At 37.8% G+C, this 21,494-nt stretch overlaps 1 long non-coding RNA gene across 2 annotated transcripts in view, besides 1 other annotated feature; it reads left to right on the plus strand.

Moving 5' to 3' along the window:
- LOC101928219 (uncharacterized) overlaps window positions 1-21,494 on the plus strand; it is a 182,425-nt gene that overhangs the window by 113,748 nt on the left and 47,183 nt on the right. The window lies entirely within an intron of this gene.
- Window positions 3,201-4,400: an enhancer, noted in NCBI's record as "MED14-independent group 3 enhancer chr1:96207937-96209136 (GRCh37/hg19 assembly coordinates)". NCBI's record gives its function as "activates an origin of replication core promoter dependent on BRD2, BRD4, P300/CBP and CDK7 cofactors, and independent of MED14, by STARR-seq in HCT116 cells {active_cell/tissue: HCT116}" and the evidence as "EXISTENCE:reporter gene assay evidence [ECO:0000049][PMID:35650434]".

Consider the following 21,494-nt stretch of genomic DNA (forward strand, 5'->3'; position numbering starts at 1 on the left):
TGTTCCAGTTCTCAGGGGGAACGCTTTCAGCATTTCCCCATTTGGTATAATGTTGGCTGTGTGTTTGTCATAGATGGCTTTTGTTACCTTAAGGTATATCCTTCTATGCTGATTTTGCTAAGGGCTTTAATCATAAAGTGATGCTGGATTTTGTCAAATGTTTTTCTGCATCTATTGAGATGATCATGTAATTTTTGTTTTTAATTCTGTTTATGTGGTGTATTACATTTATTGACTTGCATATGTTAAATCATCCCTGCACCCCTGGTATAAAGCCCACTTGATCATTGTGGATTATGTTTTTGATATGCTGTTGGATTTGATTAGCTAGTATTTTGTTGAGGATTTTTGCATCTATGTTCATCAGGGATATTACTTTTTAGTTTTCTTTTTTTGTTATGTCCTTCCCTGGTTTTGTTATCAGGGTGATACTGGCTTCATAGATTGATTTAGGGAGGATTCCCTCTTTCTTTGTCCTGTAGAATAGTGTCAATAAGATTGGTGCCAATTCTTCTTTGAATGTCTGATAGAATTCAGCTGTGAATCCACCTGGTCCTGTACTTTTTTTGTTGGCAATTTTTTTATTATCATTTCAATCTTGCAGCTTGTTATTGGTCTCTTCAGAGTTTCTATATCTTCCTGGTTTAATCTAGGAGGGTCATATCTTTCCAGGAATTTATCTGTCTCATCTAGGTTTTCTAGATTATGTGCATAAAGGTGTTTGTAATAGCCTTGAATAATCTTTTGCATTTCTGTGGTATCAGTAGTAATATTTCCTGTTTCATTTCTAATTGAGCTTATTTGGATCTTCTGTCTTCTTTTCTTGGTTAATCTTGCTAATGGTCTATCAATTTTATTTATCTTTTCAAAGAACCAGCTTTTTGTTTCATTTATCTTTTTTTGTTTGTTTGTTTGTTTCCAATTCGTTTAGTTCTGCTCTGACCTTCCTTATTTGTTTTCTTCTTCTGGGTTTGGGTACAGATTGTTCTTGTTTCTCCAGTTCCATGAGATGTGATCTTAGATTGTCTGTTTGTGCTCTTTCAGACTTTTTTATGTAGGCACTTAATGCTATGAACTTTCCTCTTAGCACTGCTTTTGCCATATCCTAGAGGTTTTGATAGGTTGTGTCACTATTATTGTTTAGTTCAAAGAATTTTTAAATTTCCATCTTGATTTCATTATTAACCCAACAATCATTCAGCAGCAGGTTATTTAATGTCCATGTATTTGCATGGTTTTGAGGGTTCCTTTTGGAGTTAATTTTTCATTTTATTCCACTGTGATCGCTGAGAGTACTTGATATAATTTTAATTTTCTTACATTTACAGAGACTTGTTTTATGGCCTATCATTGGGTCTATTTTTGAGAATGTTCCATGTGCTGATAAATAGAATTTATATTCTGTAATTGTTGGGTACAATGTTCTGTAAATATCTGTTAAGTCTGCTGGTTGTAGGGTATAGTTTAAGTCTATTTTTTCTTTGTTGACTTTCCATCTTGATTACCTGTCTAGTGGAATATTAAAGTCCCCCACTTTTATTGTGTTGATGTCAGTCTTATTTCTTAGGTCTAGTAGTAATTGTTTTATAGATTTGGGAGCTCTAGTGTTAGGTGCATAGATATTTAAGATTGTGATTTTCCTGTTGGACTAGTCATTTTATCATTATATAATGTCCCTCTTTGACTTTTTTAACTGCTGTTGCTTTAAAGTTTGTTTTGTCTGACATAAGAATAGCTGCTTCTGCTTTATTTTGGTGTCCATTTGCATTGAATATCTTTTTCCACCACTGTACCTTAAGTTTATATGAGTCCTTATGTGTCAGGTGAGTCTGAAGACAGCAGAAACTTGGCTGATGAATTCTTATCCATTCTGCCATTCTCTATCTTTTAAACGGAACCTTTAGGCCATTTACATTCAATCTTAGTATTGAGATGCAAGATACTATCCTATTTATTGTGCTATTTGTTGCCTGAATAGCTTTTTCTTTTTTCATTGTGTTATTGTTACATAGGTCCTGTGAGATTTATGCTTTAAGGAGATTCTACTTTGGGGTACTTTGAGGATTTGTTTCAAGATTTAGAGCTCCTTTTAGCAGTTCTTTTAGTGCTGGCTTGGTAGTAGTGAATTCTCTCAGCATTTGTTTGCCTAGAAAAGATTGCATCTTTCCTTCATTTATAAAGCTTAGTTTTGCTGGATACAAAATTCTTGCTGATAATTGTCTTGTTTCAGGAGGCTAAAAATAGGACCCCAATCCCTTCTAGCTTGTAGGGTTTCTTCTTAGAAATCTGCTGTTAATCTGATAGGTTTTCCTTTGTAGGTTACCTGATGCTTTTGCCTCACAGCTCTTGAGATTCTTTCCTTTGTCTCAACTTTAGATAACCTGATGACTATGTGCCTAGGTGATAATCTGTTTGCCATGAATTTTCCACGTGTTCTTTGAGCTCCTTTTATTTGGATGTCTAGATTTCTAGCGAGGCTTGGGAAGTTTTATTCGATTATTCCCTCAAATATGTTTTCCAAACTTTTAGATTTCTCTTTTTCCTTGGGAACACCAACTATTCTTAGGTTTGGATGGTTAACATAGTCCCAAACTTCTTGATGGCTTTGTTCATTTTTTTTTTTTCATTGTCTTTGACAGACTGGGTTAATTTGAAAGCCTTGTCTTCAAGCTCCGAAGTTCTCTCTTCTGCTTATTTGATTCTATTGTTGAGACTTTCCAGTGCATTTTGCATTTCTCTGTGTCCTTGATTTCCAGATGTTGTGATTGTTTTTATTTATGCTATGTATTTCACTGAATATTTTTCCTTTCATATCCTGTATTATGCTTTTGATTTCTTTAAGTTGGACTTCACCTTTCTCTGGTGCCTCCTTAATTAGTTTAATAACTGACCTTCTGAATTCTTTTTCTGGCAATTTAGAGAATTTTTTCTTGGTTTGGATCCATTGCTGGTAAGCTAGTGCTATCTTTTGGGGGTGTTAAAGAACTTTGTTTTGTCATATTACCAGAATTGTTTTTCTATTTTTTTCTCATTTGGGTATACTATGTCATTGTATTTGTATATGTCAGAGGGAAGATCTGGAGTTCAAGTGCTGCTGTTCCAATTCTTTCGTTCCACGTGGTGTTCCCTTGATTCGATGTTCTCTCCCTTTCCCTAGGGTCGGGGCTTCCTGATAGCCAAACTTCAGTGGTTGCTTTTGCTCTTCTGGGTCTAGCCACCCAGCAGAGCTACCGGGCTTCAGGTTAGTACTGGGGAGTGTCTGCAAAGAGTCCTGTGATGTGATCCATCTTCAGGTGTTTCAGCTGTGGATGCCAGCACCTGTTCCGGTGGAGGTAGCAGGGGAGTGAAGTGGACTCTGTGAGGGCCCTTGGTTGTGTTTTTGTTTAGAGTGCTGGTTTTTTGTTGGTTGGCCTCCAGCCAGGAGGTTGTGCTTTCAAGATTGCACCAGCTGTGGTACTATAGGAAAGATGCAAACTTGCCCTGGGGTTATCTGGTTAAGTATTCAGGTTTCACAGGCAGTGGGGCAGGGCCTTAGAGCTCCCAAGAGATTATGTCCTTTTGTTTTCAGCAACCAAGGGGTGGGGGAGGTAGAGAAAGAGCACCAGGTGGGGCAGGAATAAGCCTGTCTGTGCTCAGCCTCTCCTTGGGTGGGGCTTGCTGTGGCTGCTGTGGGATATGGGGGTATAGTTCCCAGGCCAATGGAATTACGTTTCCAGGAGGATTATGGCTGCCTCTGCTGAGTCATACAGGTCTCCGGGGAAGTGGAGGAAAGCCAGCAGTAACAGGCCTCACCCTGCTCCCACGCAGCCTGCAGTCTTAAAGGCCAGTGTCACTCTCACTGTGCTCCCCCAACAGCACTGAGTGTATTTCCAGGCAGCCAGTGACTAAATGACTAGGGCTGAGAACTTGCCCTATACCACAAGCCTCCTCGCTGAGAAAGCAAGCGGACTCACAGTTTTTCAGGGAGCCTGCAGCCGTGATCCAGTTCTTTCAAAGGGTCTGTGAGTCTTTCAGCTTTCCTGGTATGTTTCTTTGGTAGTTCCGGGAGCAAAAGTTCATGATATGAGTCTCCACACACTGCTCTGTCTGTCCCAAGTGGGAGCTGCAAGCTAGTCCTGACTCCTATTGGACATCTTAATCCCCTATTACCTGGTCCAGTTTTAAATAGGAACATCAGAAAAGATTTGACTGAGATTTGATAAAAGGAGATAAGCAAAAACAAAATAGAAACAAAAACAACCAAAAAATACAGGTACCTGGAGAAAGGGCAAAGTCCCTGAAATGAGTGTTTTTGCTATATCTTAAAAACAGCTAGTGGGCCAATGCGACTGAAATGCAGTTTTGGGGAAATGGAAGAATAGGAGGAATAGAAGACCAGGCCAGAGATATAAGGTAAATCATGCACATTTTTATGCTCAGTGTATTAATGATAGATTGAGGGGACATTGGCAAAAACAAGAAAGCTAGTTAGGAGGCTATTGTAGCAATCTGAGTGACAGCTGATGGTGTTATAAAGGTGGTGAGTTGTTAGATACGGGATGTATTTGATAGTAGAGCCAGTGGGATTTCCTGACAGATCAGATAAGGGATAAAGCAAGGTATTTGTTGTAAGCAACTGGAATAAGGAGTGGAAATTTACTAAAGTAAGGAAAATTGAGTGGAGCACTTGGGAAAGGGGAGAGACATCAGGGTTTTTATTTTAGGGAATGCTGTTTGAAATCTCTGTTAAGCAGAATAATGGAGATGTGGAGTAATTTATTTGCATATGTTCTCTTGGTGAGGTCCAAGCTGGACATATAAATTGGAAGTTATCAATATTTTGTTAATATTTAAAGCAATAATACTGGATGAGGCAACCAAAAAGAGGGGTTATATAAAGAGAAGTGGCCCAAGAACCAGGGCATTCCACCCTTTAGATATTAGACTGACCAAAGCAAAGGAGGCTAAGGAGAAGTCATCAGTGAAGTAAAGGTAAATATGGAAGCCAAGTGAAGATAACCTTTCCAGGAAAATGGAATGATTGACTTGTCAAGTTCTGCTGAGAGCTCACGTATGGTGAGGATGGAAAATTGACTATTGAATTTAGCAATATGTAGTAAAAATTTCCACTTCATAATAATTTCTCCAGATCTAGGAAATCAGATGTTGTGCTTAAATACCCCTATTTGGCCATTCCCAGGTTGTTACAACATGAGACTGTTGTGGTGGTATATTTTAGGAATGGTTAGAGCTTTTCCTATTGATCATGATAACATGTTTCCTCAAAGTCAGATGTTTCATGGCAAATTGTCTCTTCTTATTTTTATTTTGTTACAGCTTTGTATGCTATAACTAATGCAAATTGCATATACAGAGAGTGTAAAATTTTATGGGTTTTGACATACATATCTGTGTGCAACCATCACTACAATCAAGATAATGAACCTATCTATTGTCCCAAATGTTTTCTCGCACCCATTTGCAGTCTGTCTTCCTGCTATGCCCAGCAATCAATGCCACTATAGATTAGTCTTTACCCAAATATTTACCATTTCTAGGGATCACAAGTCCTTTGTATAGATCTGAATTTCCACCTGATATCACTTTTCTTTTAGCCTGAAGAACTTCCTTTAGCATTCCTTATAATGCCTGTCTGTTGGTGACACACTATCTCGGCTTTTGTTTCCCTGAAAAAGTCTTAATCTTCCTTTTTGAAAGATATTTTCACTGGGTATTGAATTCTAGATTGGAAGTTTTATTTTCCTTTTAGCACTTTCAGGATTCCATTCCATTATATTTGGCTTGCATTATTTTTGAGAAGTCTCTGATCATTCTTATGCTTATTGCTTTCTATGTAGTGTACTTTTTTTCTTTGGCTCTCCTTAAGATTTTCTTTTCATCACTGGATTTCAACGATTTGATTGTGATGTGCTTTGTTGGGAGTCTTTTGATGTTTTTCCTGCTCAGGGTTCTTTGAGGTTCTTGGATCTCTGGGTCTATATTTCTCATCAAATTTGAGAAGATTTCTGTCAGTATTTCTCCATATATTTTGCTGACTCTCTCCTTCTGGGACTAAAATTATAAACATATTAGAATGCATAATATTACCCCACATGTCACTGATACTGTTTGTTTTGTTTATCTTTCTTTTCTCTCTCTACGCTATTTCTCTCTATTCTTATTGCTATGCATTTAAATTTCCTGATCTTTTCTTCTGTAGTATATAATCTGCTGCAAATCTCATTCTGTGACATTTTTGAGGCTTTTTTTAGCTTTACAAATTCTGCTTCATTCTCTTTATATATTTTTTATTTATCTCCTCATTATGTTAATGCTTTCCTATAAATCCTTGAACATATTTATAATAGCTATTTAATGTCTTCGTTAATTCCATCTGAATTGTCCTTTATGGTTCTGGTTCTAATGACATAATTTTCCCGCTGGCTATGGAACATTTTTCTGTTTCTTTGCATATCTAGTCTTTTTTTGAGGTTTTAAAAAATTTTTATTTTTTAATTGATCATGAATATGTACAATTACTAATTGACAACAAACAATACTACTCACAAGAAATAATACTACTCACAACAAATAAGTACAGTTATTAATTGGCAATTGGCAATTAATGACAATTAATGAATATGCACAGTTATTAATTGACAATTGACAATTAATAACTACATATTCATGGGGGTGCATAGTGATATCTAGAATACAAGTAATGTATAGTGATAAAATCAGTGTAATTAGCATATCTATCATCTCAAACATTTATCACTTGTCTTGAGAATGTTCAATAGCATCCTTTTAGCTTTTTGAAATTATATATTATTATTAACCATAGCCATCCTACAGTGGTATAGAACACCAGTCTTTTTAAATTGAATGTTGTATACTTTGAATATCAAGTTGTTGTATACTTGCATTTTGTTTTCCTTCTTTAGAGAGTGTGGAACTTCATTTGAACAGTCAGTTAAGTTTTTTACAAATTAGCTTGACTTTTTACACTTAAAAAAATCTTACTTAGGGTGGGTCTAGAGTAACCTTTAATATAACATTATTAATAGTTAGCTATATTTCTAAATTGTGACCACTGTGGGATCTTCGCAGAATGCCCTGGTAGTTTAGTGAAGTTTCTGCTTTGAGTGATCTGAACCCAAATGTCTCCCAGTCCTCTGTGAGTTGAGGGAATTGTTCAGTTTATCTTTGTCAGGCCTTGTAGAGTTTTACTCCACACATACAGTGTAGAATTCAGCAACCGACTAAAGGGAATCCCATGCATATTTATGGAGCTCTTTTTCTGTGTGACTCCCCCATCTCCATGATTTTGCTCTGCAATTCCAGCTGCTTCAGACTTCTCAAACTCTGATCAGTCTCCTCAACTCAGCCATCCTGTCATACTCTGCGTGGGTCCTTTTTTCTTGCACTGTGGTTTAGAAAGTTCCCCTAGGCAGACAGCCAGGGTAATCTTAGCATTTACCTCCTTTTCTTCCCTTCTCCCTGGGATCAGAGACCTGCTCTGCCTGTTGTCCAATGTCTGAAAACAGTTGTTTTGCACATTTTGTTTAGTTTTCCAGCAGTTTATGATAAGAAAGTTTAAGTTAATTTATATGAACTGGAAATTCCAATTTCCTCTTTTTCAAAATAAATGGTTGACATTTAATTTTAAATTTCACCATTAAAGCTCAAATAAATCTCATCACTAAGATATCATGCCTTTGAAACATCTCAATTTAGATCTTTATCAATTTTTCAAAATAATTAATAGACTTTTTTAGAGCATTTTTGAATTCACAGAAATTGGTTTGTGTTTACATTTAGGTCTATGAGTTAGTTTTTTAAATATGTTGTAAGTTTGTTGTCTACATTCATATTTTTGCATGAGAATGCCCAGTTACTTCAGCAATGTTTTTTGTCAATACCATACTTTAGCTTTATAGGAGTTTTTAGTATGCATATGTCTAACTGTGTATTCCTATATAGTAATATAGTGTTGGGCCTCTGAATTTTTTCTTCTCCTTCAATATTGTCATGGCCATCACAGGCTCTTTGCATATCTATATAAACCTTAGAATCAATTTGTCCATATTCATAAAATAACCTGCTGTGCTTTTCATTAAAATTGTGTTGAATCTGTAGATCATTTTGGGAAGAACTGATATCTTTACAATATTGAGTCTTCCTATCCATGAACATGGGGTATCTCTTCATTTATTTAGATCTTCCTTGATTTTTTAATCCAAGTTTTGTGGGTTTTCGTATATAGATCTTGTACATATTTTGTTAGATGCATATCTAATTAATAAACTGATTTATTTATTTTGGTGTTATTGTAAAAAGTGTTGTGTTTTAATTTTAAATTCCAGTTGTTCATCGCTGGCATATAAGAAATCAATTGCCTTTTGTATATTAACATTTTATCCTACAACTGCTTTAATTGCTTTTAGCTCAGGAGATTTTTGTTGATTCTTTGGAATTTTCTGCATAGACAGTCATATCTTCTGTGGACAAAGCTTTATTTCCTTCCCAGTCTTTATATCTTTTTTTTTCTTGTCTTATTGCATTAAGTAGAATGTTGAATAGAAGAGGTGAGAGGGGATATCCTTGACTTGTTCCTGACATTAGTAGGAAAATATCTAGTTTATCTCCATTAAATATAATGTTAGTTGTAGGTTTTTTGTAGATGTTCTTTATCAAATTGCGGACATTCCTGTCTATTCCTAGTTTACTAAGAGTTTTGTCATGAAGGAGTGTTGTATTTTTATCAAGTGCTTTTTCTGCATCTATGATATGGTCATATAATTTCTCTTCTTTAGCCTGTTGATATGAAGATTTTAGTGATGGATTAATTAATCCTGTTTTCAACATATGAAGCCTTGATTTTCTCACATTCTGTGGAAATTAATTCTTGCTTCATAGTCATCTATCTTGAATACTTAAAGTGCTCTCCATATCAACAAATATATTGTATATCATTTTTGTGAGTGCACAGTAATCTATTAATGGTATACACTGTAAGTAGTCCCTTATTATTGGACTTTAAGTTTTTTCTAATGTTTTTATTATTATAAACAATCCTGAACTGAACATTTTTACACATTTTTACTTTTGTCATTGTCTGTTAATTTTCTTAGAATTTATTTATAACATTTATTTTTAGGTCAAATGATATAAACAATTTAAATATTTTGAGGAATATTGCCAGAAATTGTCTTCCAGGAATGACGCATAATTTGGGATCCCATTAGCTAATATGTTTTATAAGGAAATAAATTGAATCTTCCAATTTTGGTTTCTAACCAACCTTCCCTATGTGTCTCCCAACCGCATGGTCACTAATAATTTAAGTATCTACTATATGGAGAACACTGCTGTGAATTGGAAATTGAAAAAGATATAATTCTTGTCTTCTAGTAGCTTACAATTGCTTGGACAAAATCAACATATACCTATACAGTTAACCTTTGAACAACATGGGTTTGAACTGTGCTAGTTTACTTATATATGGGTTTTCTCCACCTTTGCCAACCCCAAGGCAGTAAACCAACTGTTTCTCTTCCTCCTTCTCCTCAGCCTACTCAACATGAAGATGACAAGAAGGAAGACCTTTATGATGATCCACTTTTGCTTAGTAAATATATTCTCTCTTCCTTATAATTTTCTTAATAATATTTTCTTTTCTCTAGCTTATTTTAAGAACACAGTATATAATACATGTAACATATAAAATATGGGTTAATTGATCGCTCATGTTATCAATAAGACTGCAGTCACAGTAGGCTATTAGTAGTTAAGCTTTTGGGGAGTCAAAAGTTGTATGTGGATATTTGAAAGCACAGTTGTTCGTGGCCCTAACCCTCTAGTTGTTCAAGGGTCAACATATACATGGCCCAGGTATACCACCAAGCATTGCAGGTTCCCAGAACTCTCTCTGAAGGTAGGACTATTGTAATAAAATATCATCATTTACCAAAGAAGTTGGAGCCTCCAATGTTGTCATGTAGTGTTTTGTACTCTGTTGGAAACAACTTACTCAAATATTCACGAGGGGGATTTAGAAGGCTGATTATAATGGCCTGTGTAAGATTGGTTCAAAGCACTTAGGTGCACTCCCAATAAATGTACAGTGGGGCTGCTACATGAAATAACAAGAGATGAGACAAAGACATGTCTGTTCTATAAAATTAAACTTGTTGATACTTGAGTTCCAGGAGTTAGGAAAGGGTAACCTACCTATAATCACAGTCATTTTAGGTAATATGAGAAACTTAAGTTATAAAATATATTTATTAAATTATGAATTAATATAAAGATGTCAAAAATAGAAGCATTTTCTTCCTAAATGACTCTGCTCACACAGTTTGTTATCAGCTTCTAATGATAACTAGCTTATACCGTAAATTGAAAATTGCATAGCAGAAATCTACAACCCAGTGAGTTAAATGTATTTTATTTATAAATGCTCAGTGAGCAAGGAAAAAACCCAGAGGTATTTAGGAGTCAGAAAATCTGCTTTTCTCCTAGATGTCATAATTGTAACTACAGTACAAAGAATAAATGATAAATGAGACAATGATAGATGAGCATGGTCTGAATTATATTTAGAACCTCAAATATAAACACATCATATTATTTTGTGCCAGGATTATCCCCCCAGCCCAGAGAAGGGAGCCTATTTTTATAAGGTAAATTGAAGAAGAAAAATTGAAGATACTTACAAATAAATAAAAGTGCATGTGGAATTCAAATATGCAAATGATAACAATTCCTTTTGTACACACTGTGGATGGAAGAGGAGAGTAGGTGATCACTGCTGGAATTTATGCTGAGATCTTATACAGTGTAGCATTAGTGGCCACCCTCAGCTCAGGCACACCACAGCTGTTCACTTTAGAGAGCCTGCCACCTCCTCCTCCTTTCCACACCCCCACCCCACCACACACACACAGTAACCCTTCACACTAGCTTTATTTTTTTAAAAAGGCAGAAATGAAGGCAAAACCTTTTTGTGTAAAGAAAAACGCTATAAAGGAGGAGAAAAGCCTGAAGCAGTTACCTTAAAAAAGTTGCTTTAAAAATTAGAATTTCTTTTCCTCCAAACCACTTTTTTTCCAAACGACTTCAAAACACTTACTATGCATTTCAAAGGCAGTCATTATCTATTGTGCATATTGGAGCAGTTGATATGACCCTATTATTTTAGTGAATAAAAACTTTTGTATTGTTTAATTTTCTTTTCCTTGTGCTTGACTTTTGCATTTTGTTGAAATAAATGTATATCTAATTATGCTGCCAGAAAAGTATCATGATCTGCAAAATTTACAAAAAGTATCTAGTACTGAAAAATACTCCCAGTTCCTATTATACAATTGATTTGTGACTAGAAGCAAAATCATATTTGTTTTCATGGTGTAGTGAGCTGAACAGTGCCCTCCAAAAAGATATGTCCATGTACTAACTCTGGGACCTGTGAATATTACTTTATATGGCTAAGGATGTGATTGATTAAATTAAAGATCTTGAGAGGGAGCGTTTATCCTGGATTATTCTGGTGAGCACTAAATGCCACCACATGTATCTTTCTAAGAGAGAGAGAAAGAGGAATTTTTGAAGAGGAGGAGGCAATGTGATCATAAAGGCAGAGACTGGAGTTGTGTGGCTACAGGCCAAGGAACTCCTGAAGCCACCAGAAGCTGGGAGAGGCAAAGAAGAGATTCTGTCCTGGATCTTTCAGAGGGAGTATAAGCCTGCTGACACATTGATTTTGGATTTCGGGCCTCCGGAGCTTTGAAAGAGTAAATTTCCATGGTAGAGCTTGTGGTAATTTGTTATCAGAGGGACAGGAAACTAATATATATGGATTCCTGGAAATAAATATGTTATTAGCTAAATTTCAGATTCTCTAGAAAACAGAGCTCTAGAAAACAGTATAGATGCTTATGTGGGAGGTGCAAGTGGGGTAAGGAGAAAGGGAAGTGAGGAATGGAGGAATTTGAAGCTGATACAGTTTGGATCTTTGTCTCCTCCAAATCTCATGTTGAAATTTGACCCCCAGTGTGGAAGATAGGGCCTAATGGGAGGTGTTGGGGTCGTGGGGGCAGATGACTTGTGAATGGCTTGGTGCTCTTCCCATGGTAACTAGTGAGTTCTTGTACTATTAGTTACTGCAACATCTGATTGTTAAAAAGAATCTAGGAACCTCTCTTCTTTCCTTTGCCCCCTCTCTTGCCACAGAACACTCCTGCTCCCCCTTTGCCTTCTGCCATGAGTAAAATCTTCCTGAAGGCTCACCAGAAGCCAAGCAGATGCTAGTGCCATGCTTGTACAGGCTGCAAAACTGTGAGCCAAATAAACCTCTTCTCTTTATAAATTACTCAGTCTCAAGTATTCCTTTGTAGCAATACAAAACAGACTAATACAAAAGCAATGTGATATGATTGGTTACCATACTGACTACTGCTTATGACCAGCTGCTATGAGATATACGTTGCTCAGCAGATGTTCTAGTTAAACACCTGGACTTCTCTGGAAGGCTGGATGGAGGAATCTTCAGTAGTTCGTGGAAAGGTAAAAGGAAGGAAACTTTATCTGCCTGGCTTCATCCTATCATCTTCTGTTTCCCATGGTTAAGTTCCACTGACAACAATTCGGTTTTGAACGAAGTGATCCAGTCCCTCAGTGATAGATTGGAAAACCAGATTCTGCACTATAAGGTGTGGTATTTCATACATATGCAGAAGTGGAGGGCAAATCAGCATTCATAGGCTTGGCATGTGAGGCATGAAAGCCATTCAGGTTCAATACTTCAATTTGGAGTAAGAGTGGTTATGGATAGCTGATATCCTTGGCATCCTGGTCATAGCAACAGAGGAGGAAATCTCAGCAGCACGCAAAGTTTGTGTCTGATACTCTCTGCAGCCTGGAACAAACTGCTGGGATTCATGATCATTATGGGGAGTGATAGAAACACAACTGAGATAAATTTGGCATTTAGACTGAAGTCTGAGAAAGGTATATTTTAGGATGCCTTCCAGCATAATAGGACATTAAATACAAATTGTTAACTGATAGAGGTCATCACTCAACATGCATTGTTTTTCTAAGTTCTACCATATTATTACATTATTGTCATTAGATCATAGTGGCATACTGATCTTTTTTTCAAATTTTTTCATTGTGGTAAATGTACATAACATAAAATTTATAATTTTAATCATTTTAGTGTATAGTTCAATAGTATTCAATGCATTTATAATATTGTACAACCATCATCACCATCCATTTCCATAACTCTTTTCATACAGTATAACAGAAATTCTGTATCTATTAAACAATAACTCTTCATTATCTCCTCTCTGCAACCTCTTGGCAGAACCTTTGATAACCACCAATCTGATCACAGTGGTGGGCCATCTGGTGCAGCTGCTGCCATCAGGCTGGCTGCAGTGGGGAGGCACCACTGGTGGTGGCAGAAGCAGCTATGGGAGCAGCAGTGGCGGTGGTGGGACCCTGTGACCTGTGTCCCCTGTGCCCCACATCTCTGAGGCAGCCGACTGCCATGCCCCCCACACTTAAATGGCAGGGCAAGACCCACTCCCAGGCCAGAGCCTCCACCACTGCCACAACCCCTCTCCCTGCCGCATCCCGGGAGCCCACGAATACCAAGAGCATAGGGAGGCCCAGGTTCGCAGCTGCAACTTAGGCGGCTGCAGCTGCGCCTGGGAGGGTGAGGTTCCTTCCTGCTCCCAGCTCCTACCAGCACAAAGGCACAGCCAAAGCCACCGCCGAGACTCGTGGGGCTGGCTCTGAGAGCATAGGCTTCGTTTGTGCAGGGTTAGCCCAGGCCACCGTGCTACCTGCACCTTGTCTGCTGCCACTGAGGGGAAAATTCAGCGAGGAGGTGGGCAGTCCCCAGAGCCTGCCCCTGGAAGTCCCCCAGAGCTCACTGCCCTCGGAGCAACCACAATGAGGCCAGGCGGAGTTTCCCGCAGGTGGGGGAGCCATACGGTGGGTCACAGAGGGACAGGTAGAGAGGAGCCCTAAGGTCGAGATGAGCCTGGGGTGGTGCCACGCTCCATGGAGCCGGCAGGAGCTGGGGGCAGGCGGGAACCTCATTCTCGCAGGCGCGGCTGCAGTCACCTAAGTTGCAGCTGTGGACCTGGGCCTCCTTGTGCTGTTGGGAGCCGGAAGCAGGCAGGAGCCCTGCTTGTCAGGGCACTGCTGCAGCCGCCTGGCTGCGGGTGTGGACCCAGGTATCACTGCACTCTTAGGGGCCCAGGAAGGTCTCCCCATTTCCCGCAAAGGCTCAGAGGTGTCTGCACCTGCTGCCTGGCCTCTCCCTACCCGCAGCAACCACTCTGATTTCGGAGCAAGGTTGAGGCCAAGACCGGGCTCTGTTGCAGCCTGGCTGGGTGTGTGTATGCTTGGGGCAGTGCTGACACACCAGCCCCGTGCCACCTTGGCCGCCTCCAGACTTTGGGCACTGCCGATCACAGGAGGGAGGCCTTGGGGGAGCTGAGGGCAGGTCAGTACTGGCCTGCAGGTGCCCCTTGTCACAAACAGCCTGGGCATCATGAACCACAGCAGGAGGCAGAAAGGCTCCTGGTTGGAAGGGGGTGGGTGTCTGGTGAAGCCTTACCTTCCAGCCAGGGAGGGCCTGAAGCCTGGGGGCTGGGCTGCCGGTCCTGTGGACTGGAGTGGGAACTTGTGGCGCTTTTTCTGGGCTGGCCCATGGCCTCCTGCACACACTCCTCCATAGGCACACACTTCCTCCCCTCAGAGGTCCATAAAAAGCTCCAGACTCAGCCGGACCAGAAGAGATGTTGGGACCAGTAGCTGCAAAAAGGAACTGTTCACTCTAGGGTCTCCTCTCTGCTGAGAGCAGGGAGACCATGGGACAACCTGCCTGCAGAGAAGAGCTACCTTCTCTGTGGAGAGCTGAACACTTGCTGGGACACGCTGGCTACAGAAAGGAGCAACCCGCTGCTGGTCTCCTTTGAGTTGTCCTTAATAAAGCTCCTCTTCATCTTGCTCACCATCCACTTGTCTGTGTACCTCATTCTTCCTGGACACAGGACAAGGACGCAGGACTCGCCAAATGGCAGAGCTAAAAAAGCTGTAACACAGTGCTGAAACATGGCCCTTGCTCCACGTGTTGTGGGCAACAAGGATAGAAGAGAGAAGGGGAGAAGAGCTGTGGCCCTTTGGGGAGTCCAGACCTAGGAGTTCCCCCAGTCAGGGCTGTGACACCCTTTTAGGGCTCTGTAGTTCCTGGCATTTCCAAGCTTCTGGGTGTCACCATATTCCCCACTGTCAGCCATGGAAGCTGCTTATGGTATGCCTGGTCCAGCTGCAGCCTCACAGGGAGCCAGTGCCCATGCCTGGCCTGTGCGCAGTGGCCGGACCCCATGCTCCACTCACTCACACACCCCTCAACGCCCTGCTTGCCCTTGGCAGGCACGAAATCCAGGCTGGGAGCATGAGCCAAGCGCAGCCTGCTGGGCGGAGTGGGATCAGTGGGCCAGGGCAAAACTTGGGCAAAGGCACCACTAGCTACAGAGGTTTCCAGCTGGTGAAGCAACACCCCAAAGAGCCTGTGACATTTTTACTTTTTGTCTCTATGATTTAACTATTCAAAATACCTTATATTAGTGGAATCATACAGTAGTTGTTTTTTGTGACTGGATGATTTCACTTAGCATAATGTCCTCAAGGGTTCATTCATGAGGTAGCATATGTCAGAATTTTCCTTTTTTTTTTTTTTTTTTTTTTTGAGACAGAGTCTCACTTTGTTGCCCAGGCTGGAGTGCAGGGGCACAATCTTGGCTCACTGCAACCTCTGCCTCCTGGGTTGAAACAATTCTCCCACCTCAGTCTCCCAAGTAGCTGGGACTACAGGCACATGCCACCATGCCCTGCTAATTTTTTTGTATTTTTAGTAGAGATGGGGTTTCACCAAGTTGACCAGGCTGGTCTTGAACCTCTGACCTCAAGTGATCCACCTGCCTTGGCCTCCCAAAGTGCTGGGATTACAGGCACGAGCCACTGCACCCGGCCTACTGCTACTGCTTTTAATTCTTGTGGGCATATATTCAGAAGTGGAATTTCTGGATTATGAGGCATCTTAGTCCATTTTGTGCTTCTATAACAAAATACCACAGCTGGGTAATTATAATGAACAGAAATTCGTTGGTTCACAATTCTGAAGGCAGGGAATTTCAAGATCTAGGGGCCAGCACTTGGTGAGGGCCTTCTTATGGCATCATACCATAGCAGAAGGACAAAGATAGAATGAGGGAGAGAAAGAGATCAAACTCACGCCTCAAGCCTTTTTATACTTTTTATACTTGGCATTAATCCATTTATAAGGCTGGAGCATTCATAATATAAACACCTCCCGTTTGATCTTACCTCCCAACACTGTTGCATTGGGCATTAAGTTTCTAGCACATGTATTTGGCAGACACATTCATAACACAATATATGGTAATTTCATTTTTAACTTTTTCAGGAACCATCATACTGAGGGACAGTTTTGGCAGATATAGGATTCTTGGTTGCCAGTTTTTTTCTTTTTGCATTTTGCCTATATTGGCCCATTGCCTTCTAGCTTCCAAATTTCTGATGAGAAATCTGGTGCTAAGCTTATTGAGGATCTCTTGTGTATGAGAAATCACTTCTGTCTTTTGGCTTTCAAGATTCTTTCTTTGTATTTGTCTTTTGAGAGTATGATTATAGTGTGTCTCAGTGTGGGTCTCTTTAAGTTCATATTACTTGGAATTTATTCAGTTTCTTGAACGTTTATATTCACGTATTTCATAAAATTTGAAAAGTTTTCTGCCATTATTTTCAGATATGCTCTCTGACCCTTCTCTCTATTCTCCTCTTTTGACTCTCATAATGCATATGTTGGCCCACTTACTGGTGTCCCATAGATCCCTTAAGCTCTATTCACTTTTCTTCAATCTTTTTCACTTCTATTCCTCAGACTTAATAATTTCCATGATCTTATCTTCAAGTTAGTTGATTATTTTTTTGCCTGCTCAAATCTTCCTCTGAGTCCCTCTAGTGAATTTTTTATTTCAATTATTTTACTTTTTCACTCCAGAATTTCTTTTTAGCTTCTTTTTAAGTTTTCTGTCTTTTTCTTGGTATTTCAATTTTGTTTATACATCATTTTCTTATCTTTTCACACATCTTGCTCAAGTACTTTGACCATTTTTAAGACAGTTGTTTTAAAGTCTTTGTTTAGATTATCTGCCTTTAGGTCTTTTGCAGGTACAGCTTATGTTGATTTTCTTAATGTGTCATACTTTTCTATTTCTTTGTATGTCTTGTGATTTTTTTTTTGCTGAAAATTATTCATTAAGATCTAATAGTGTATTAACTCTGAAAATTATATTCTCTCCTTTTTCCAGAATTTGCTGTTTTTGCTATTGCTTTTGGTTATTTTTAAAAATTGTTGTAGGCTCTCTCTATGCCGTCAATCAGCCTAAGATGTAAACTTAATGTCTTTTCAGAGCCTGTGCCTTCCCCTGGCATAATAACTGTCTAATTTTTCCCATGTATGCAATATCTTTGGCATGACCTAGTCTTTAATGTCTGGCTCTCAAAGGAGGAAAAGAAAAAAATAATAAAGTAGAGAGAAAGGCATTAGCTCTTTAAATGCCTTGGAAGTCACTTACACTGGAAGGGGAGAGACTTGTAACAATGAGGGGTGATACAAAAACAATAGCTGCCTGCTTATTTGTACACATCTCTGTGATCAGGAGCAGCAACCAATGATCAGAGCACAGATTCCTAACATGTGGAGGACAGGGTCCTTTTTTACCCACTCTGGCTTCCCCAAATTAAGTGCAGTTTGCTCCAGAAACAGTGCACAGTTGCCTGCCACAGAGCTGGGTTGGGGAATGAGTAGCTGCTCCTGTGCTGAAATTGACCAAAATTAACCAAAATTTACCATCCAAGCCTGATCCTGGAAACCAACAGACTCCAAGATTCCAAAATATTTACATGAGACAGATTCTGCCAAAGCAATTGTAGTCTAGGTGGGAAGACAGATTCCTGGTGCTTCCTCCTCTTCCATCTTTCCAGAATTATCTCACTGGTAAATGTTTAACAACCAATTTCCTCCTAAAAATGTATGGATAGCCATACATACATGAGTTGATTATAAATTTCACTAATATAAAAGATGTGTAGCATATAATTTACAAATAATAATTATATATATTCTTTGTTATACATTTCATACAGATAATTGATTCTCATAGAATGCTTTCTTTGATTTTTGCCAACTCTTGTAGAATTATTGCAATCTATGGCTGCAATTGATAAATGAATGCAGTTCTGACATAAATGTTAGTTGATATTTTCATTTACCTCCATAAGTAATACAAAATGAAACAATGAAGACATATGTTGGAAATTCACTCATTTATTAATGACAGAAATGACTTCTTCACTGAATGAGGTAATAGCTTTCAAATAGTCAGTGAATATTCTCACAATTTTTTGTGCTATTCACAATATAACAGTGATAGTTATGGCACACATTTAAATTTAATCTTCATTATTAACCTTTTTCCCATAATTCTCTTAAATATAGACAATCAGCAAAGCAATAAATAAAGCCATGATTTGTAATGTTTGCCAATTTTAGTGGTGTAAATACTGTCATCATGGCTGATTTCACATGACCAATGTGCTCTCACTGAACATGGAGTTGTAACACAGTATTGTATAGTATTTTTACTGCAGGGATTAAATAGACATAAACTCAATAATATAGATAATAGTAAAATAAAATAATTAGGAAGTGATGCAGTTTGAGTATTTATTATCATTTTAATATAATTTATATTTTATTCAGTTTATATAGGTACACACAAAATTTTATAATTTAATTTTTAATATTGTCTGTGTTTAACCACTAGATTGCAAAATTCCTAAAAATTTTAGTTAATTCTAGCTATATTTTGACATACATAATGGTGCTAAACAAATGTAATATATTCTTATTGAGAATAATGGCAAAAAGGTCCAATTCAAGTATGCTAAAAAACCAGATATTTGGCTTTGGATCTTCAGAATAAAAAAAAAATGTGGATCACATTGAAACAAAAATTTGAATTCTACTTGCTTCACACACACAGAGAAAAATTGTCACCTAGAATTTCCCTTATCTACTGTAAAACATAGCATTAGACATTTTTAGCTTTTCTGAAAGTAATTATAAGCTTTTATTCAGTAAGTTTAATAAGAGTGGTCATTTATTATAAAATGGACAGAAGAGGATAGGAAGATCAAATTATAGTTTTTGGTTTTGGTGTTGTAAAGACACATCTCCTAATTGCATCACACATTTTCTTACTTTTTACTATCGATATATTTATATTGGTTAACCCTTCTAATAATTGCTTATAGTTCTACAGCTCTCTAACATGTTGAAACACTCATTTATTTAACAAATATTGATTGAATGCTTATTAAGTATAGTATGCTATTTCATTTAGGAATAACAATAAGTTTTGTGGAATAGGCAGAAATTTTAACCTCCTTTATACTTGCAGAAACCAAGGCCCAAAGTGGCTTAGTGATTTTTCTCCAAAGTCAGAGATTAGAACTTAAGAAGAACCTTGACCAGCTGGTTTAGCGTTTCTTCTCAGTATCAGTCTGGGTCTGCATAAAAGTTCACTTACGGAAAATTGCTAAATTTTGAAAGACGATCCAGTGTCCTAATTCGTTCAGCTAGTAAAGTTCATTTATTAAATTTTTTAATTGTTTAACAACTATTTATTGAGCTCATATTGTTCGCTGAGCACTGTTCTAGACCCTATGGTTAGAGCTCTGGTTATTCAAAATCATTAGTTGGGATGAAAATAATAACATGCTTGTCCAAAAAAAAAAAAAAATCAGTTGCTCTGTAAAGTCACTGAAACTTTTGAATCTTTGTAGGGTGATAATTTGTATCAAATTCTGCACTGTAATTCTAATAGCTTCTATGATATGACTGGAATTTAGTGTAATAGTAAGGTAGATTATGCTGAATTATGGAGTGTTATATGCCAACATAAACATTTTCTTATTAACTTTATACTATTTTTTTCTGATTAAAAAATGATGCCGTCAGCCAGACTAACGAAAAAAGGGAGAAGACCCAAGTAAATAAAATCAGAGAAGAAAAAGAAAACGTTACGATTGATATTGCAGAAATCCAAAGGATCATTATTGGCTACTGTGAGCAACTATATGCCAATAAATTGGAAAATCCAGTGGAAATGAATAAATTTCTAAACACATACTACCTACTAACACTGAACCATGAAGAAATACAAAACCTAAGCAGACCAATAGCAAGAAACAAGACTGAAACCATAATAAAATGTCTTCCGGTAAAGAAAAGCACAGAATCTGATGGATTTACTGCTGAATTCTACCAAACACTTAAAGAAGAACTAATGCCAATACTACTCAACTATTCTGAAGAATACAGGAGGAGGAACTCTAAACTCATTTGACAAGGCCAGCATTACCCTGATACCAAAACCAGACAAAGATAAATCAAAAAAAGAAAACTACAGGTCAGTGTCTCTGATGAATAATGATGCAAAAATCCACAACAAAATACCAGCAAACTAAATTTAACAATACATTTAAAAGATCACTCATCGTAATCAAGCGGGTTTTATCCCTGGGATACAACAATGGTTCAACATATGCAAATGAATCGGTGTGATACATTATATCAGCAGAATGAAGAAGAAAGATCATGTAATCATTTTAATTGATGCTGGAAAAGCACTTGATAAAATTCAACATCCTTTCATGCTTAAAAAAATTTAAAAAACTGAGTGTAGAAGGAACAAACTGCAACATAATAAAATGTGTATATTACAGACTCATAACTAGTGTTATACAGAAGAGGGAGAAACAGAAAGCATTTTCTCTAAGATCTGTGAGACAAGCATGCCCACTTTCACCACTGTTATTCAACATAGTACTGGAAGTCCTAGCTATAACAATTAGACAAGACAAAGAAATAAAGGGCATTCAAATTGGAAAGGAAGAGGTCAAATTATCCTTGTTTGCAGATAATATAATTACATATTTGGAAAAACCTAAAGACTCCATCAAAAAACTATTAGAACTAATAAACAAATTCAGTAAATTTGCAGGATACAAAATCAACCTATAAAAATCAGTAGCATTTCTGTATGCCTGCAGTGAGCAATCTGAAGAAAAATGTAATCCCACTTAAAATAGCCACAGAGAAAATTAAATACCAGGGAATTAACTTAACCACATAAGTGAAAGATCTCTACAATGAAAACTGTAACATACTGATGCAAGAAATTGAAGAGGACACAACAAAATGGAAAGATATTCCATGTTCATCAATTGGAAAAGTCAATATTATTAAAATGTCCATACTACCAAAAGAAATCTAGAGATTCAATGTAATTCCTATGAAAATACCAATAACATTCTTCACAGAAATATAATAAACAATCCTA

The sequence above is a fragment of the Homo sapiens genome, chromosome 1 (genome assembly GCF_000001405.40).
Source record: "Homo sapiens chromosome 1, GRCh38.p14 Primary Assembly".
Lineage (NCBI taxonomy): Eukaryota > Metazoa > Chordata > Mammalia > Primates > Hominidae > Homo > Homo sapiens.